The 18,657-nt window shown below is 38.0% G+C and overlaps 1 protein-coding gene and 2 pseudogenes across 1 annotated transcript, besides 1 other annotated feature; 1 reads left to right on the forward strand and 2 right to left on the reverse strand.

Annotated features, from left to right (window-relative positions):
- Positions 1-984: 984 nt before the first annotated feature.
- On the reverse strand, positions 985-4,964 carry OR52H1 (olfactory receptor family 52 subfamily H member 1). The gene is made up of 2 exons (NM_001005289.5): positions 4,876-4,964; positions 985-1,959 (listed from the first exon to the last, which is right to left on the reverse strand). Exon 2 carries the CDS (start codon positions 1,927-1,929, stop codon positions 985-987), a length of 945 nt encoding a protein of 314 aa, NP_001005289.2. The 5' UTR covers positions 1,930-1,959; positions 4,876-4,964.
- On the reverse strand, positions 8,089-9,020 carry OR52H2P (olfactory receptor family 52 subfamily H member 2 pseudogene; annotated as a pseudogene).
- Positions 12,883-13,447: an enhancer, noted in NCBI's record as "OCT4-NANOG hESC enhancer chr11:5577689-5578253 (GRCh37/hg19 assembly coordinates)". NCBI's record gives its function as "activates a minimal SCP1, AML or CMV promoter by ChIP-STARR-seq in primed H9 embryonic stem cells {active_cell/tissue: H9 hESC(primed)}" and the evidence as "EXISTENCE:reporter gene assay evidence [ECO:0000049][PMID:30033119]".
- Positions 17,391-18,335, forward strand: OR52B5P (olfactory receptor family 52 subfamily B member 5 pseudogene; annotated as a pseudogene).

Raw genomic sequence — 18,657 nt, forward strand, 5'->3', positions numbered from 1 at the left:
ATGCTTCTAATTTCCTTCTTTGATCTCAACATATAGTATTTTCTCAGTTCCAATGCTTACAAAATTTGGATGCGTTTTTCCATGGATGTGTTACTTTATTGTAGTTTTCCCACCCTCATTCCCTCTCCTCACTGTAAAAATGTGTCTTGCAATCAAGGAACTGCAGTATATAGAACAGTGTTCCACAGATCCTCTAACTAGTATGGTTACATTATTACTTTAGTTTCTAAATGTACAGAAGTCTAATCTGTGTACTGTGAGAAGTCCAGCTCTTGACTCAAATCTCCAACTATTTTGAGGGGTTATGTTCTCCCAGTACTACCACTGCAGCTCACTTTCTCAATGCATCTTGGGGCCTAGAAGCAACTCTCCTCTCCCAGCACCAAAGCCAGCAACCCTACCATTCATTGATCAATATGCTAATTCACTCATTCCCTTCATAGCACTGCTGATATAACATTATTTTAGCAGGCTTGTACTGAAGGCTCTTCAATTTTTCATATTGTGTGTGCATAGGGAGGAAACATTTAAAGGGAATTACAGTGAAACATAAAAGGAAGATAATTAGAATCAAATGTTATCATTAATGTCCTAAATATCCATCTGGTAATCCTCTCACTGAGAAATTTCTCACTGATCTTTTTACTTTTATTCCCTCTTCCTCAGTGTTTCTGTTTTACTTAACAAACTCACTTATAATAGCTGCAAATCTCAATTTCCAAATTTTTATCTCTTTTTCAATTTAGAGTAATTTTGCTCTGTGTTTTCATCTCCTTCTTCCTGATCATATTCTGTACAGCCCCCTATTTCACAAGCAAAGAGGTCATCAAGGATTTTTTTTATACATATGACCATCATTGTCATACAGATCATGCCACATTCTTGGCACATGAAAGCAGTTTCAGGTAGTTCTTGCTTTAAAGAGCATTTGCCATTTCACTCTTTCTACATTTCTGTACACTATAAACTTATCCTAGTAAAACATCATCCTGTACCCTTAGAAAACAAAAGTATAACCTTATCTCTGATCTGCTTGGTCTTCACTCCGTAAACCATGGGGTTGAGTGCAGGTGGGATAACAATGTAGAGATTGGCAAACATGATGTGGAAGGTGCGAGAGACATTGTGTCCAAAGCGATGGGCGAGGATGGAGAAAAAGGCAGGTGTATAAAACATGAGGATGACACAGACATGAGAACCACAAGTGCCGAGGGCTTTCTGGCAGGCATCTTGGGAGGGAAGGCCAAAGACAGCACAGAGGATGTGTGCGTAGGAAACAGCAATGAGAATCACATCTGAGATGACCGTCATGATGGGAACACAAAAGCCATACCAGAAGTTGATGGAGATATCAGCACAGGCGAGCTGGGCAACACCTATATGCTCACAGTATGTGTGGGGTATGATGCGTGTCCTGCAGAAAGGCAGGCATGTCAGCAAGAATACATCTGGCAGGATGATGCAGAAGCTTCGAAAGGAGATGCCCATAGCACTCTTGATGATGGTCTTGGGAGTCAAGATGGTGGTATATCTCAAGGGAGAACAGATAGCTACATAGTGATCAAATGCCATGGCCATCAGAATGGCTGAATCCAGGACAAAGTTATAGTGAAGGAAGAACATTTGTGTAAGGCATCCTGGGAATGTGATTTCGCGAGCCCCTAGCCAAAAGATACTGAGTGCTTTAGGCACACCAGCTGTGGACAAGATGAGGTCAGTCATGGCCAGCATGGAGAGAAAGAAGAACATGGGTTCATGAAGACTATGCTCCACCACAATGAGGTAGAGAAGGATGCAGTTTCCCACAACAGCTACAATGTAGATGATACAGAAGGGAATTCCAATCCACACATGGAATTGCTCCAGGCCTGGGATCCCTACCAGAATGAAGGGTCCTGGATTGTAACTGCTCAGGTTGAAAATGATCATGGCAGAGGCAGATGGCATAAATCTCAGCCCCTAAAGACAGAGGGTGATTAAGGATAGAGAAACTTGAGTAACTCTCAAACTTTCAACTAATTATAATTATTGCCTCCTGAAGATAAAGTGACCATATAATTTGTCATCCAAAATAGAACCTGTCTGAAATGAACAAAGGTTAAAATTAGTAATAATGGTAGCAACATGCAAAAACCAAGATTGTTCCAGATACAAATAGATACATTATTAAACTACCTGAAGAGAATCTTTTCTTTCTTCTGACCTCCCCCAGTAGTTTGCACAGCTTCTACAGGAAGCCTTCCAGACTGGTTACACTCTTCCTTATACACTGTTCTCCCATACAAGTTAACAAAGTACAGAATACACTTTTTCATGGTGGATTATAGCTCATATGACCTTATGGACATCATTGTTTAGGATCTGCTTGCTCTGTCATTGTGAATTATCTGTCTCTGCCCCCAAGACAACTGTTTGCTTCTCTTAAAGCTACCTGATGACTGTGGCTCTTACATTTGTAAGATCAGCACCCCTTTATTGCCATCTAAAAACCTAATTCAGTTCAGCAAACACCAGATGAGTTCCTACACTATGCTGGATAACATGTGTAAGTCAGATTTAAACTAAAAAATTCCCTTATAGCTGAGGTTCACTAGCCTTTCTCCTCAAAAAAAAAAAAAAATTCAATAGTTTTCCAACACTTTATATACTACGTAAGTGAATAATATTCTAATACTGTGGACTTAGTGACACTATCAGTCAAGGTTTCTGTCCAAAAGAAGGACTGCTTTTTTGTGAACATACATCTATTAGAGAGACACATCGACCCAAGACACATACTCTCTCAAACACAGACCCTTAATACTTACATTCTCAGGCATATCCAGACCTACACTTACATTCTGTCATATATTTTGCCACCATATATTTACCCATACATAATCTTACACAATTACAAGCCCCCTGTCCTCCCATCTTCCCCCGACACATGTGCTGACAATATAAACAAAATGTTTCACAATTAGATTTTGTCACTGTCACAGGCTTTGTAAATTCCTAAAACCTCTCCACTGGTCCTATACCTTCTTCCCCAGTAATGCCTCTATAACAACTCACAGCACTCCCAACTTGTCTGAGGTCATCCTTTATTCATACATATGTGAGGAAAGGTTTTCTCAAGTTTTTGTATTTCCATGAACTCAAATACAACAGATGTTCATGAAGTCATCCAAAAGCATTCACAAACACACACGGGTGCACAGACGGTTAACTCTCTCATTTAACAATCAGACAAATCCACAATGTGGAAAAATCTACAACAATCTGTTTTCTTTTTTCAAGTCAATGCCATTAAAGGGGGAAGGGGAATATTAGATAAGGAAAATCCATTTCCAGATTAAAGTACATTTAAGAGAAAAACAAATAAATGCAGTGTGGTTATTTATTTATTTATTTTATTGAGACAGAGTCTCACTCTGTCACCCAGGCTGGAGTGCTGTGGCACGATCTCGGCTCACTGCAACCTCCGCCTCCCCGGTTCAAGCGATTCTCCTGCCTCAGCTTCCCGAGTTGCTGGGATTACAGGCGCCCGCCACCACCCCCAGCTAATTTTTGTATTTTCAGTAGAGACGGGCTTTCACCATGTTGGCCAGGCTGGTCTCGAACTCCTGACCTTAGGTGATCCACCCACCTCAGCCTCCCAAAGTGCTGGGATTACAGGCGTGAGCCACCACGCTCGGCCTGCAGTGTAGTTCTTGATTGAATTCTGTTTAAACAAACCAGGTATTGAATTCAATTAATGAATAGTTAGGGAAACTTAAATATGGACTAGGTATTGAGTGATATAAAGGAACTAGTGTTAATTTTATCAGCAATAATTATGGTATTATGGTAGATACACATACATACTCTCAGGCATCCACAGTATGTTAGCAAAATATTGGCACAGAGCATGTACTCTGGAGCCTCAGAAAGCTAGGTTTCACAATTTAATCCTGGTTCCACAATTTACTAGCTATGTGAATCTGGGCAAGCTATTTAAACTACATGATATTTGGGTTCCTATGTTTTTAAAAGAAATTAATATTTCTAATTTTTATAATTATTATTAGGACAAAATGATACACATTGAAAAAAGAATTTTTTTTTTGAGACAGAGTCTTGCACTGTTGCCCAGGATGGAGTGCAGTGGCACAATCTTGGCTCACTGCAACCTCCACCTCCATGGTTCAAGTGATTCTCCTGTCTCAGACTCCCGAGTAGCTGGGATTACAGGTGCCCGCCACTATGCCTGGCTAATTTCTTTGTATTTTTAGTAGAGACGGGTTTCACTATGTTGGCCAGGCTGGTCTTGAACTCCTGACCTTGTGATCCACCTGCCTCAGCCTCCCAAAGTGCTGGGATTATAGGCGTGAGCCACCACGCCCAGCCGAAAAATATTCTTTAATATAGTACCTGAAACATAGTAAGCATGTAACAAGTTTTACTTCTTTATATTAGGTTATATTTTATATCATTAGTATTATCATTAACAACCAGACCATGCAGTGGAAAAGAGAACAGAAATTGCAAGATGGATAAAAATTAACAGGAGCACCCCTGGGCATACACACATACCAGCACACTTAATTCTACATTTTAAGTTAGAGTTATGGACTCTTGTCACATGTCTGAAACAGAAATTTCCTAACACTGCTAACTGTGGTCATACTTAACGCAGCTGTGTAATTGTCCATCTGTTCTGATCTTTTGATGCTTAACTCAGTGGAGCATATACACAAGTACTGGAGATCAGGACCTCAGTTTATAAATGGGAGTTGCTCAGGAAAGAAAATTATAGTGCCCAGCCCATGGTCCCTAAGAAATAGAGCCCTGGCTTTTCACTCACTTTCTCTAAGTCTTGTCCCAATCAAACCCCTTCAAACAGCCAATACTCACCAAATCTTGGGGATCAGGCCAAAGGGAAAGAAGAAAGAGTGTGTTGACAAAATCTACAAGACAGCAGACACACCAACCAAAAAAAAACATGAGTGGAAGGAAAAGGAAGGACGTTAGAGAGGTTGATTCCCTGTCCATTTATTTTCTCTGATCACTCACTGCTCCTTGTGGGGAAAAGGTAGGTAGTTAGGGGATTAGAGACTCTGACATGCCCTCTTCTCACCCTCAAGGGAAGAAGATGAAAAAGATTCTATTAACCTTGTTCATGCCTTTGAGTTAACACTGCCTTAGAGTGCTTTATTTATTTATTTATTTGTAAGCTGATGTGTATGTGGGTGGAAAGCTGTGTGTATGTGCCTATCATATCACCCAGGTTTCAAGTTCATGCCCTCACTTACCAGATAAAGGACTTTGGATGAGTTACTTAATTTCCATTAAAAGGTGGTCATATTAGTACCTGTCTCTCAAGATTTTATAAGGATTGACAAATTAATAGGATACTGCTAGTGAAAATGCTTAACATATCGGCAAACTTATGGTGTAAAGGAATAACCTAGGGCACCTGTTAAGATGAAAATTATATGGCCCACATGAAATAATTCTAATATTATCTTTTAAAAATTCCAGTGGCTTTAGGGGTACAAGTGTTTTTTGATTACATGGGTGAATTGTATAAGGTTGAAGTCTGGGTTTCTAGCGTACCTGTCACCCATATTGCGTAGATTGTACTCAATAGGTGATGTTTCATCCCTCACCCCTCTCCTAGCTTCTCCTCTTCTGGGTCTCCAATGTCCATTATACTACTATGTGTGCCCTTGCATACCTATAGCTTATCTCCCACTTATAATTTTTAAAACATTAAACTTCATTAAACATTTTTATTGGTAAAAACAATATGAGCAAATAAAATATATTCTTATGGAGAAACTGTTAGGTCTACCAGCTGGTACTGTCAGGAATTTCTGCAAGTCCAGATATCAATTTTTACCTAAGAGGCTTTTACCCAACAATTCTGAAAGCCAAGTCAGTTTTTGTCAATGTTTGTCAAACGTTTGCTAAATATTGTTGAATGTGTTAATTAATAAAGATTGCCAGGAGTCCACTCAGTACTCTGAATGTTCTAGAATATCTGGAATAAACCAGAACTAATGAGATTAGTATTGTATTGGCTCCCAACAGAATTTTTACCTTTCGCTGAATAAAAATTGAGGTTGCTTCACCTCTCTATACTAGGATAAGGGACTGAAGAGTCACATGAACTTGTGTATTCTGTAAGAATGTGATTAATTGCATCACTTACTGCCTATTCTTTAAGAGCTTTCTAAAGATATTTCTCCATTCTTCATATAAGAAGTAGTTTTGCTTCTCTAACAATTAACTGTCTGTAACTTATAGCCATCATGAATTATGTAGCTAATCATGTTTAACTCTCACATAGACTGTTAGAAAGCTTACAGCTCAATTTCTGACCCACATATAATAAGAGAACAAAAATTCATAGCAGGTGGAAAGTGTATTTTCGGCCTATTTTTTGTCTTAATTTTTAAAAATCTTTCTACTTTTCTTTTTGCCTTTTCTATTTATACTTTGTAATATGCCACATAACAATGTTTCTGAACAATTGTCCCATAAGATTACAATACCATATTTTAGAGTACCTTGTCTATGTTTAGACATGTTTAGATGCACAAATACCATTATATTATACTTCCCTACAATATTCGGTATAGTAACATGATGTACAGTTTTGTAGCCTAGGAGCTATAGAATATAATAGAGAGCCAAGGCTGTATCACACAGGTTTGTGTAAGTACACTCTATGATATTTGCACAATAATAAAATCATCTAACAACACATTTATGAGACTCTATCCTCATTGTTAAGTGGGACCTGACTATATTTTTATTTATGGTATGCAAAATACATCAAGTAATTTTGGAAACAATGCATGTAGCTATTGTCACATGTTAAGAGATAGACTATAAATTCAAACACAATTCTCCGAGTCCAAAGGACATTCTTTTCTATTAAAACTATATGTTGAGAGCCATTGTAGAAATAAAAATTCAATGACATGTGAAAAGGGTAGTAGCACGGGGATGGGAAAGTAGTCTCAAGGTAAAGAGACCATGAACAACTCTGATATTTTGAGTCAAGTGAAAGCAGTGAGGGTTTGAACTACTGGGGTAGGGGAGGAGGGTGCCTGCACTCAGCCGGGGAATCCAAGAGGTTATTTAGAAAAAAACCACAGGTTTTGAGGACGTATCAGATTTGAAAGGGAAATAAGACATTGATTATCATTGCTGCCTGGCAGACACCTAAAAATAAGTATTACTGACCAAGTGACTGAATGACTCACTATGACCAAGTTATGCATACTGGATTTGAAGAGACAATGAATCATACAGAGGTACATTTTTGGCTTGTGACTACATCTCTATGGAGATACAAACATGAAAAAAATTGAGACCACCAATGCTTCCAATTGGTCAAGTCTTAAACCCACTTCTTAGTCTGTACGTGCTTTACCATTTTACTAGCCATAGGAATTTGCCTTCCTCCTTTTATTCCTTGTGGAAAACTCCACCCACCCACAACTCATTTGGCTTTCTCAAGGTTGAGTTAAACATTGAGTTTTATCATTGCCTTATCCCTTTGCTTAATATAAACACCTGCACTCTTAAATTAATAATTTTATGATTATTTGCCATTTATTTATTTGATAAATGTTGCCTATGTCCCTAGTGTGTGCTAGGTATTATACTTGATGTTGTTTAGAAATTAATAGGAGTGAACAAAGTAAAAACCCAGAACCCTGCAGAGTCATCAAAGAGGTAATTTTCCTGCCTTGCTATGATGTATAAATAAACTACCATGATAAATAAATCTGAAAAACCATTCAGATTTGCCAATCATTACATTGTCTTCATTAAAAGTTTTATAATCACTTTAGAGCAATCATAAGGAATTACAAAAGTTCTTGTTTCTAGAAGTCAAAAAATATTTATTATTTCCTAGACTCAGAACTTACTTTGCTATAACTGAAATGATTGAGTAGACTTCTGCCTCAAATCACAAAGAAAGCAAAACTCAAGTTTTCGTTAATAAATTTTAGTCTGTCCTTTCTCTTGGGTGTCTGAACACAGGTTCAGTCTTTGACCTAACACACACTAGGAACTTGTCCCTACCTCCAAGAGCTCAGGCACCTATCACTGGGACCCCTTGGGAAAGAGCAAAAGGATTCTGTTCTGGATTTGCTTGGTCTTTATTCTGTAGACAATAGAGTTGAGAGCAGGTGGAATGATTACATAAAGGTTGGCAAACATAATATGAAAGGTATGAGGGACATTATGCCCAAAGCAATGGGCAAGAATGGAGAAGAATGCTGGTATATAGAATATGAGGATAACACAGACATGGGAACCACAGGAGCAAAGGGCCTTCTGACGGGCATCTTGGGAGGGGAGGCAAAAGACAGCACAGAGGATGAGGGTGTAGGAGACAGCAATGAGGATCACGTCTGTCATCACCGTCATGATGGGAACACAAAATCCACACCAGATATTGATGGAGATATCAGCACAGGCAAGCTGGGCAACACCTATGTGCTCACAGTATGTGTGAGAAATGATATGTGTCCTGCAGAAGGGTAAACGATTCACAAGGAAAACACATGGGACAAAAACACAGAAACTTCGGAAACATATTCCCACAGCAATTTTGACAATGGTTTTGGGAGTCAGAATAGTAGTGTATCTCAAGGGTGAGCAAATGGCCATATAGCGGTCAAATGCCATGGCCAGCAGTATAGCTGAGTCCAACACAAAGCTATAGTGCAGAAAGAATAATTGGGTGAGACAGCCAGGGAAACTGTTTGGGGACCAAACCAGAAGATGCTAAGTGTTTTGGGGACACATGTGGTGGACAATATGAGATCAGTAATGGCCAGCATGGAAAGGAAAAAGAACATGGGTGCATGAAGACTGTGCTCTACCACAATGAGGTAGAGAAGGATACTATTGGCCACGACAGCCATGAGATAGATTAAGCAGAATGGGATGCTGATCCAGACGTGGTACTGCTCAAGTCCAGGGATACCCAAAAGGATGAACAGGCCTGTACCATGGTCACTCATGTTGTACATGGCCTTTAAGATCAATAGCTTCTGTGTCCTAAAAACAAATTGCTTATAATGAACATGAGGAAATTGTATGGTAATTCTTCCTCCACTGCTTCCTAGGGGCTGGTCCGCCTCTTTCCTATATTCCAAGAAAAAACCTCTCATTGATATTAACAGCAATGTTCATCACTTGAAGAAAGACTCTCAGACCCAATACTTCTGATACTAATCATCCAGTTACTCTAGAATCTTCTTCAAACTGCATAAACTGCTGTTCCCATTTTAATGACTGAGTTCTCCCTGGGTCAATGTAAGTTGCTGCTATATAAATATGAGTATAGAGAAAAGTAGTCTAACTACATGCAGGGATAGAAAGAAACTGAAAAATACTGGGTCACAGTTGGGAAAATGAGATAATTAACAATTACTGACTCCTAGTACATGCCAGTTTCTTGAAAAATATTATCTTATTTAGAAAAACCTTCTGAGATACGTATTTTTATCCACCTCATTTTTTTTTTTTTTTACAGAAACTGAAACTGAGACATAATCTTACCTAACATCTCACCTTTAGTAACTAGCAGAGCCAAGGTCATTAGATTCCACAGCCACTACTCTTTCATGTTGCTGTTACACCAGGTAACTGCTTCAACTCACTGTGAGATGCCAAGAATTCAGAAGAGGCGTGGACGTGTAGCAAAGGATGTAAAGAAACGGATCACTGGAACTGTAATTTGTCCCAACACTGACCCTACCCCAATTTCAACGACTGTTCTGATATCTCAGACACTACATAGAGAGACTTAAGGCTTGTAGACCAGAATGTTCTCTGAGATTGTGATGTTTGATGCCTCCTATATGAATGAAATGAGAAAGGGTATGAGGCTCAATCTCAGTCCACCCTTAGGAATTAATGAGGAAATCTTGTTTAAGAATCAGAGAAAATTGGTTTGTGTGCTTTTTACAAATACAGAGAGGACCTCTAGTGGAAGAAAAATACAATTTATATATTCTAAATCCTAGGTCAAGCTAAAAGCAAATAAACTTTATAACAGAAGCTAATATTTTTTGAAAACCTTTAATATACTACATGAGACCACTTTTGTAATTTTCTTAACAATTCTATGAGACAGGTAATAATATTATCCACATTTTAAGGATGCAGAGAAAAGTGATTTGTCAAAAGTCACACAAGAAGGAAATGGTAGTGCTGGGAATCAGACCCACGAGTCTTTTCCTAGACTCCTCTATATATAACCAAAATTATCTACAGAGTCTGTATGGCAAATAACATGTATAATATCTGCATAGCAAAAGATACAAAATTAACCAATATATAGAAAACTAAAAATATAAAACAAGTTAACAACATAAAACCAAATACATCATTTATGCTTATAAATGTAGATTGCTGGAATTCCTCTATCAAAAAGCACAAAGATAAATAAAGTTTAAAAATTCAATTATATGTCACTTATATGAGTAAGATCTAAAACAAAATGATGCATAAAGGATAAACAAGTGTGAATAAACAAGGATAAAAAGGATAGACAAGTGTGTTTCTGACAAATTTAAATGTGATGGAAGCAAGTCTAGCAAAATGGAAAGCATAAAAAGTAAAATTTAACTTAGAAAGCATTAAACAGGACAAAAGGTAGTTTGCACAGTTAAAAGGAACAAATGTTTATTAATACTACAAATAATTTGCCAGGCCCAGGAAACCAGACATGATGCTAAACCTTAGGTATTCAGAAACACATATCAGTCTATTCTTAAGAGAACATTACCTGCTAAAGTCAACAGATTTGTAAAAGAAAATTTCAATGCAGAATGAAAGTCATAGGGAATTCAAAGATGCCTGTGGAAACTGAGTGGAGAGGTATTATCAAAACCTGTAGCATCAGAGAAGATCTTGAGAAATAGGTGAAACAATGTGAGTCTTGAGGATGATGCAGATTACTCAAGAAGACAGAGAAAAAACATTTCAGGCAGAGAAAGCAACACATACAAAGGCTTAGAGGCATGAAGTTATGATATATTTTGGTAAATTTACATCATCTAGGTATATTTAGCGGAGTGCTGGGAAATGGGTAGCAGCCAATCAGTCAATAAAGATGTAAGCATGTAATAGGTACTGGAAAGATAGTGTGTATAAAACAGATGCAATGCCTCTCGTGGTGGAGATAATTTATTGAGGAAGACAGACACTATTCAAATAAGCAGTAGGTTATATGTATAAGAATAATTATTACCTGCGATGTATGTTATGGAAATATATAGGTTATCATGAGAATCAATAACAAAGACGATTGGACCTGCAGGAGATAGGAAAGGATTCTTGGAGGAAGATATTGTAAAATGAGGTTGATTTTAACAAAAATATAATAAAATAAATAATACTGAATTCTACCTGTAAGTCAATTGAATTTAGCCCTTCCTCCCTCCCAGAGAGGTAGGTCCCCCTTATTGTTTCCATATTACAGACAAGAAAAAAGATGATACACAGAAAGTATATCCAAATTTGTTCAGCTGTTAAGTGGAAAAGCCAAATTTCTAACAGGTAGTTTGACCTCAGATCTTTTCTTCGACTCCACTTTACACTATATTATTTTCAGTAGGCTAAAACAGAAAGGAAAGCATTTAGAAAGAAAAGTGTGTGTAAAGTCCTTCAGGTAAGAAGGAGCTAGATGTGGAAATAAGCTCCTTGAAAGCAGCAGGTACTTGGTGGTGGTGGTGGTGGTGGTTGTTATGTGTGTTTTAATATATGTGGCTCATATGCTAAAAATGAAAAGAAAAAGAGAAAGAGAAAGAAAGAAAGAGAGAGAGAGAAAGAAAGAAAGAGAAAGGGAGAGAGAGAGAAGGGAGAGAGAAGAAGGAAGGAAGGAAGGAAGGAAGGAAGGAAGGAAGGAAGTCTAATGAAAACATCAAAATTATGAAAAATAGCAAACATTTTTAGCAGGCACCTAGCCTCTTCAAGAGACATTCATCTGGAAAGGTGGCATTCATCTGGATGCATTGGTTATGCCATAAACCCTAAGTATAACCAGCATAAAAGGATGCACCCTGTCCCAGTTTGCTATTCTTATATTTATGCATTTGTCCAACCACCATTTGTTGAGGCAGTCTACAGGACAGTATAGACGGTTACGAGGAAAGAGCTGGAGGCCAGACACTCCTGGCTGCCATACACCAACTCCATCAGTTCTCTTTAGATGAAATTGGGAAATTTATTTAACCACTCCAAGATTCTGTTTCCTCATGTGTGTATGAAGATCTAAGCTACCTCACAGGGTTTGAGGATTGATTGCAATGTTATAAGCAATGCACTTTGTACATTGTTTAGTACATTACATAGTGATCTTTTTTTAAGTTTTAATTTAATTTTGTATTTTATTCTACTGTGTAACAAGCACTGTGGATGCAGATATGACTAAGACTTTTTTTTTTAACTGTCCTCAAGGAGATCACGGATTAGTAGGGAAATACACACAGAAGGAGGCAATTCCACTGCAGAGTGACAAATAATATGTAACCTCAAAAAGCACAAGGATCTGTGTGGGCACAGAGAAGATACTATGCAATTAGGAAAGAGGGCAGGATGGTCAAGAATCTTATATTGGAGCTGTGTTTTGAAGGAAAAAGAGAAATTCTCAAGGCAAATGACAGGAATAGGGATACGCTAGGCAGAGAAGACATTATTTCAAATGTGAAGGATTAAGTGAGAATATTGTGAGATTTGGGGAATTGTATGCACCCCGATATGGACAGCACCCTAGATATGCTGAGACTGAGAGAAAAGAAGAGGAAGGTCAGATGAGTTTGGAGAAGTAAACAAGAACTTGTACTTTCTGATTCAGAACTTGAATCTTATCCTGAAGACTAAGGGAGGGAGGGGGCTGATAGAGGATTTTACTTGGGAGTGTGACAGAATGAAATTGACATATTGAAAACTGCATTCTGGCTGCTGTGTAGACTTGCTGTTGGAATGAAGTAAGATGCAATTGAAATGAAGTTTTAGAAACAGAATGAGTTTGAGAATTTCCCTGTAGTCCAGGGAGAAATGATGATACATGCTAAAAGGGATGAATTAAATAATGCTTCCTCCAGGGCTGGAATTGGGGGAAATGCCTAGAGTGCAACATTTAAGGAACAAAGGACTCACTCTCAGGGTTTTAAGTGCTTCCTTTAATGTTGCATCCTAGGCACCTCTATGGGGCTCACTGCTCAGTACACAGACACTCAAGGTGTTATTGCCAGTTAAACAGAAAAGAAGTTTACTGTTTTCTTCTTTGCTCACTTGTCCCTGTGTGCTGTTTAGCTGGAGACAGGGGCAGGAAACAAGTCCCAGAGGTCACTCCACTGGGACTTTCTTAGGAGCCATAAATGCTCTCAGGCTCATCGTGTCTGCAGCGCAGTGGGAGTCTCCCATCTGTGGTTGAAGGAATGGATGGAAGTGTGTGAGCTAGATTGCACAGATAGCAAGCAGAACATTTCTGGTGAACTTGGACACACAGACACGTGGAAGTTACTGTAACCACCTAGATTGCAAGAAACCTTTCCTTTGTGGGCTAGCCAAGTGGGCAGGAGTAAAGTAAGTAATTTTATTTCAGAGTGTAATTTTTGGCTACCTTTACCCAGGATTTCAAGTCTCTGAATCTGAATTTCCCCACAGGTCCCCTGCAACATTTCTCCAACTTTCAGCCTTCTTGTGCCCTTTCCCAGGAATAATGCCCACCTCTGTACCTTGCTCTCTGAATCTTCCCCAGTGACATTTTGCAGCTATAATTATCTAATTCACCGAACCATGCATGATGAAAATGCCAGCATCCAGGGGCTCCTGAATGACACAGGCTTTTAATAGGGTCTATTCAAGAGGGGCTCTAGTCTTCTAACTCGAGGTAGGACTCCAGATCAGAGATGCTCCCAAGTAAGTGGTCTGGGGAATCAGTGCTCTTGATAGAGAAGACAGGGACCCTATGGGTACTTCTCAAATCTTATCCTCTGTGGGTAGCTAGATGTTGATCTAGACTTCTTGGTTGCTTTGTCTATGAAGTCTGAGCTCACACACATAACTTCTTCCATTTTAAAAGCTTGAGACATCACATCAGAGATATTATTTGCCAAGTTGATCTTCGTGAATAGGAAAAATGCCTTGGCTCTTTAAGAAATATTAGGGAAATGTTTTAATACGGAATAAAGGACAATCACATATTGCTGTGCACACATTTCTATTCTTTGGTAAACGTAACTCCGTAATTGCTGCTATGCCAATTTATGGCACCAACCAATATTTCAAGTGATAGTAATCAATAGCAGACTGCCCAGCTTATTTTTAAAAATCAAAGGACAACTCCAGGTGATTCATGAGCCTGGAACTGGTCCAACAGAAAAAACCAGATTCTTAGTTATTCATTAGAAGATACTGAGTAAACTCCTCTAGAAGTTGGGGATATTAATTAAAGTGGTTCTAATGAAAGTCTAAAATTTTCATCACTCCCTTTAATAACAAAATGAATTCCATCAAATTACTGTCATATATTTGGTAATAGTAAAATAGTAAAATAATAAATTTCTATTAGAAAAATAGAAACTATCAGATAGTAAAAAAAAAGTAATATCACCTGTTAGTTTACTACCCAGATATAACAATAGCTAATATTTCCATGTTTTCTCTACCAGACATCCTATCTATGCATGTATGTGTATATACATTATTGCCATTGTTCAACACATACAGGTGATACTGTGGAAAAGTGTTTAGCTTATTTTTTAATTTAGCAATAAATGGTAAATATTAGATGATATTTATTTTACATAAAAATAAACTACCTTTGTATATAAGTCAATCTCTCCTGATACAGGATAATCTGTTAATGAGAAAATTAGTTTTCTTTTTTTCTAACTTCTATTTTACGTTCAAGGATACAAGTGCAGGTTTGTTACAGAGGTAAACTTGTGTCATGTGGGTTTGTTGTACAGATTATTTCCTCAACCAGATATTAAGCCTAGTACCGATTAGCTATTATTTTTCCCTCTCTCCACCCTCTGGTAGACCCAGTGTGTGTTGTTCCTCTCTATGTTCTTATCGTTTACCTCCCAATTATAAGTGAGAATATGTAATAACAGTATTTGGAGTTTTGTTCCTGTGTTAGTTTGCTAAGGATAATAGCCTCCAGTTCTATCCATGTCCCTGCAAAACATGATCTCATTCTTTATTATGGCTGCATAGCATTCCATGGTGTATATTTTCTTTATCCAGTCTATTATTGAAGGACATTTAGGTTGATTTCATGGCTTTGCTATTGTGAATAGTGATGCAATAAACATACACATGCATGTGTCCCTATAATAGAACAATTTTTATTCCTTTGATATATACCCAGTGATGGCATTGCTGAGTCAAATGGTATTTCTGTCTTTTTAGGCCTTTGAGGAATCGCCACTGACTGAACTAATTTACACTCCCACCAACAGGGTGTAAGTGTTCCTTTTTCTCCACAACCTTGCCAGCATCTGTTATTTCTTGACTTTTTAATAAAAGCCATTCTGACTGGTGTTAGATGGTGTCTTACTGTGGTTTTGATTTGCATTTCGCTAATGATCAATAATTTTCTTTTTAATGAACATAATTAGCTATTTAAAATAATGGCTGGGTTGGGGATTTATTTTTCTTCTTTAGAGAGTATTTCATTATATGGCCCCTTTTCAGGGATAAAACCCATTTAGCATGGGTGTGGTTGCACAAAAATTACTGGGAGGGAAGATTTGAAGAAAGTCAATCACACTATGCTCCTTAAAGAAAAAAAAAAAAATTGCCAGGCGCGGTGGCTCACGCCTGTAATCCCAGCACTTTGGGAGGCCGAGGCGGGCAGATCATGAGGTCAGGAGATCGAGACCATCCTAGCTAACACGGTGAAACCCCGTCTCTACTAACTATACAAAAAATTAGCCGGGCATAGTGTCAGGCGCCTGTAGTCCCAGTTACTCAGGAGGCTGAGGCAGGAGAATGGCGTGAACCCGAGCGGCGGAGCTTGCAGCGAGCCACGAGAGCCTGGGCGACAGAGCGAGACTCCGTCTCAAAAAAAAAAAAAATTGGTTTACACTTTTCATTCAAATTCAGTTCTGCAGATATAAAGAAAACCGGAAACCTAATTTACTTGTTTTGGGGAAGGCAATAAATATTTTAACCATAATTCTGCTAGCCTAAAAAAATAAACCCCAAAACAAAACAAAAACCACTTGAAGCCTGGATTTAATGCAGGGGCCTGGATGTGATTGTTAAGATCTTCTCCTACTACAGGAACATGAGTGTAATAAAGGTAAAACAAACAAATTTGGTTCTGGCACACACACACACGAAACCTTTACATAATTAAAAACTAACAAAGAAATTATTAAATGTATTTTAAGTAAGAAGAGTTTAAATAAGTGGTTGATATACATATCCAATTATACTGACAACTTATATTTTGATAATTGCTCAAGCTACTTACTTCTGACAGTGTTTCTTTAAAGTCATGAAGTTTAGATGTATTAACAAGTAAAACTGAAATACAAATAATAGTTTTTAAAAGTCTGGGTAGACTTTGGTTCAGAATCTCATCCTGCATTTCAGGAAAGATAATCATCTTGTGCCACTGCTGCAGCTCCACCCATTCTCAAATAGCAGCATCCCCAAGTGTACTCGTAGTTCTTAATAATGTAATAAAATATTTCAAAAAAATTCATTTTTAATTAATGGATACTCATTTATTATATAGAGAAACAGACAGACAGCTATATTGTAGAACTATGGTTTTCATACATTATAATTCTATGTGAAGGATTTCTGTTTTGAAAGCTTTTACATTCATTTTTCCCTTTCCTGCCCATGTTGATTTTTCTGTACATATTATAGATGATCAATAAATGCTTAATCAATTAATAGTTGGTTAGGTAAATGTGTGTGCTAGATAACAGAATTGTTTAATTCAATAAGAAAAAACCTTTTGGTTTCTATTTTTTCCTGATATTCTTTATAAAAATTGATAATTTTCTCTCTTAAAATGTTTAGTTGCAGACTACAATTATTATTAAAGATTTTACAGTTTTGGATGGTCATAATTTTAATTTTATGTCAATTTTATGAGAAAATAGTACTGGCTTCAGGATTTTCTTTTGAAGCATCTGTTTAAAATTATGTGATCTTATTTTAAATTTTTAGAATATTTCTCTTCAAGGCTGAATACTACACATATTTAGGTCAGTAGTTAACAAAACTGAGTAGGTAAGACTTGTTAACCTGAGCTCATTGAGGGTTAATAAATATATGCTAATTGATTATGACCAATTGACTCTCTACTTTCTTTCACATTAGACAGAAAAGTGGTGAAAGTTCCTTACCATAATTCTGGCATGTCAGCTCCCAACCACTCCACTGCCAATCATGATATGTTTGTCCTCATTGGCGTTCCTGGCCTGAAGGAGCTGCACGTGTGGATCTCCATCCCCTTCTGTCTGATGTACCTGGTGGCTGTGTCAGGAAATGGTCTCCTTGTCTGTGTGGTGGCAGTGGAGCACAGTCTTCATGAACCTATGTACCTTTTCCTCTCCATGCTGGCATTTTGGGATCTGATTCTATCCACATCTGCAGTACCCAAAGCCTTGAGCATTTTCTGGTTTGATGATGTGGACATCTCCTTTGGTGGCTGTGTCACTCAGCTCTTTTTTATGCATTTTGCCTTTGTAGCGGAGTCAGGCATTCTCTTGACCATGGCTTTCGACCGCTATGTGGCCATCTGCTACCCATTGAGGTATAGCACCATCCTTAGCCACAGTGTTATTGGCAAAATTGGGGGTGTCGTGGTGTTCAGGAGTTTTGCAACTGTCTTCTCCATCGTCTTCCTTGTGAAGCGTCTGCCCTTCTGCCGGACAAACATCATTGCCCACACCTTCTGTGAACACATGGGGCTGGCAAAGCTAGGTTGTTCTGAAATCACCATCAATATTTGGTATGGAATCTCTGTACCACTACTCAGTGTTACGTTAGATATGGTGACAATAGTCATCTCCTAGGGGCTCATAGTTCAAGCAGTCTTCAGGCTGCCCTCCCTTGGTGCTTGGATGAAAGCACTCAGCACCTGTGGTTCCCATGGCAGTGTCATCCTCATGTTCTGCCTTCCAGGAATTTTCACTGTCATTGTTCAGCGCTTTGCCTGAAAATTTCCCAAGTATGTCCACATCCTGCTGGCCAATCTCTATGTTCTTGTTCCCCCCATGATGAACCCAATTATCTATGGAGTAAAGACTAAACAGATTCAGAAAGGGGTTGCCCTTGTGTTTTCTCCAAAAGGAAAATGTTGCTGAGGGTGACTGGATCTTACTGTGGCTTTTTAAAGAAGAGGAGGAGCGTCCTATTAGATGATAAGAAACGTTTGCCATGTATTTTTTCATGAAATAGGGATGACGCAAATTATATAAGTCTCTTATTTCAAAGGGAAGTAGGTTCTCAAAGGTTTGTTATTCACAGAGATAAACATTATTATTTTAAATATCGATAGGTTTTTTTAGTATTTAATGACAACATAATATTTCTACTTCTACCAAACAAATGTAAAATCAATATATAACACTTCTCTAATATTTAAATTTTAGATATCTCTGTGTCCTCCCGAACAGCTAT

The sequence above is a fragment of the Homo sapiens genome, chromosome 11 (genome assembly GCF_000001405.40).
Source record: "Homo sapiens chromosome 11, GRCh38.p14 Primary Assembly".
NCBI classification, from domain to species: Eukaryota; Metazoa; Chordata; class Mammalia; order Primates; family Hominidae; genus Homo; species Homo sapiens.

What these genes read in the sequence shown, in the direction of transcription:
- OR52H1 (NM_001005289.5), bottom strand. Translation starts at nt 1,929, where the DNA reads ATGATCATTTTCAACCTGAGCAGTTACAATCCAGGACCCTTCATTCTG.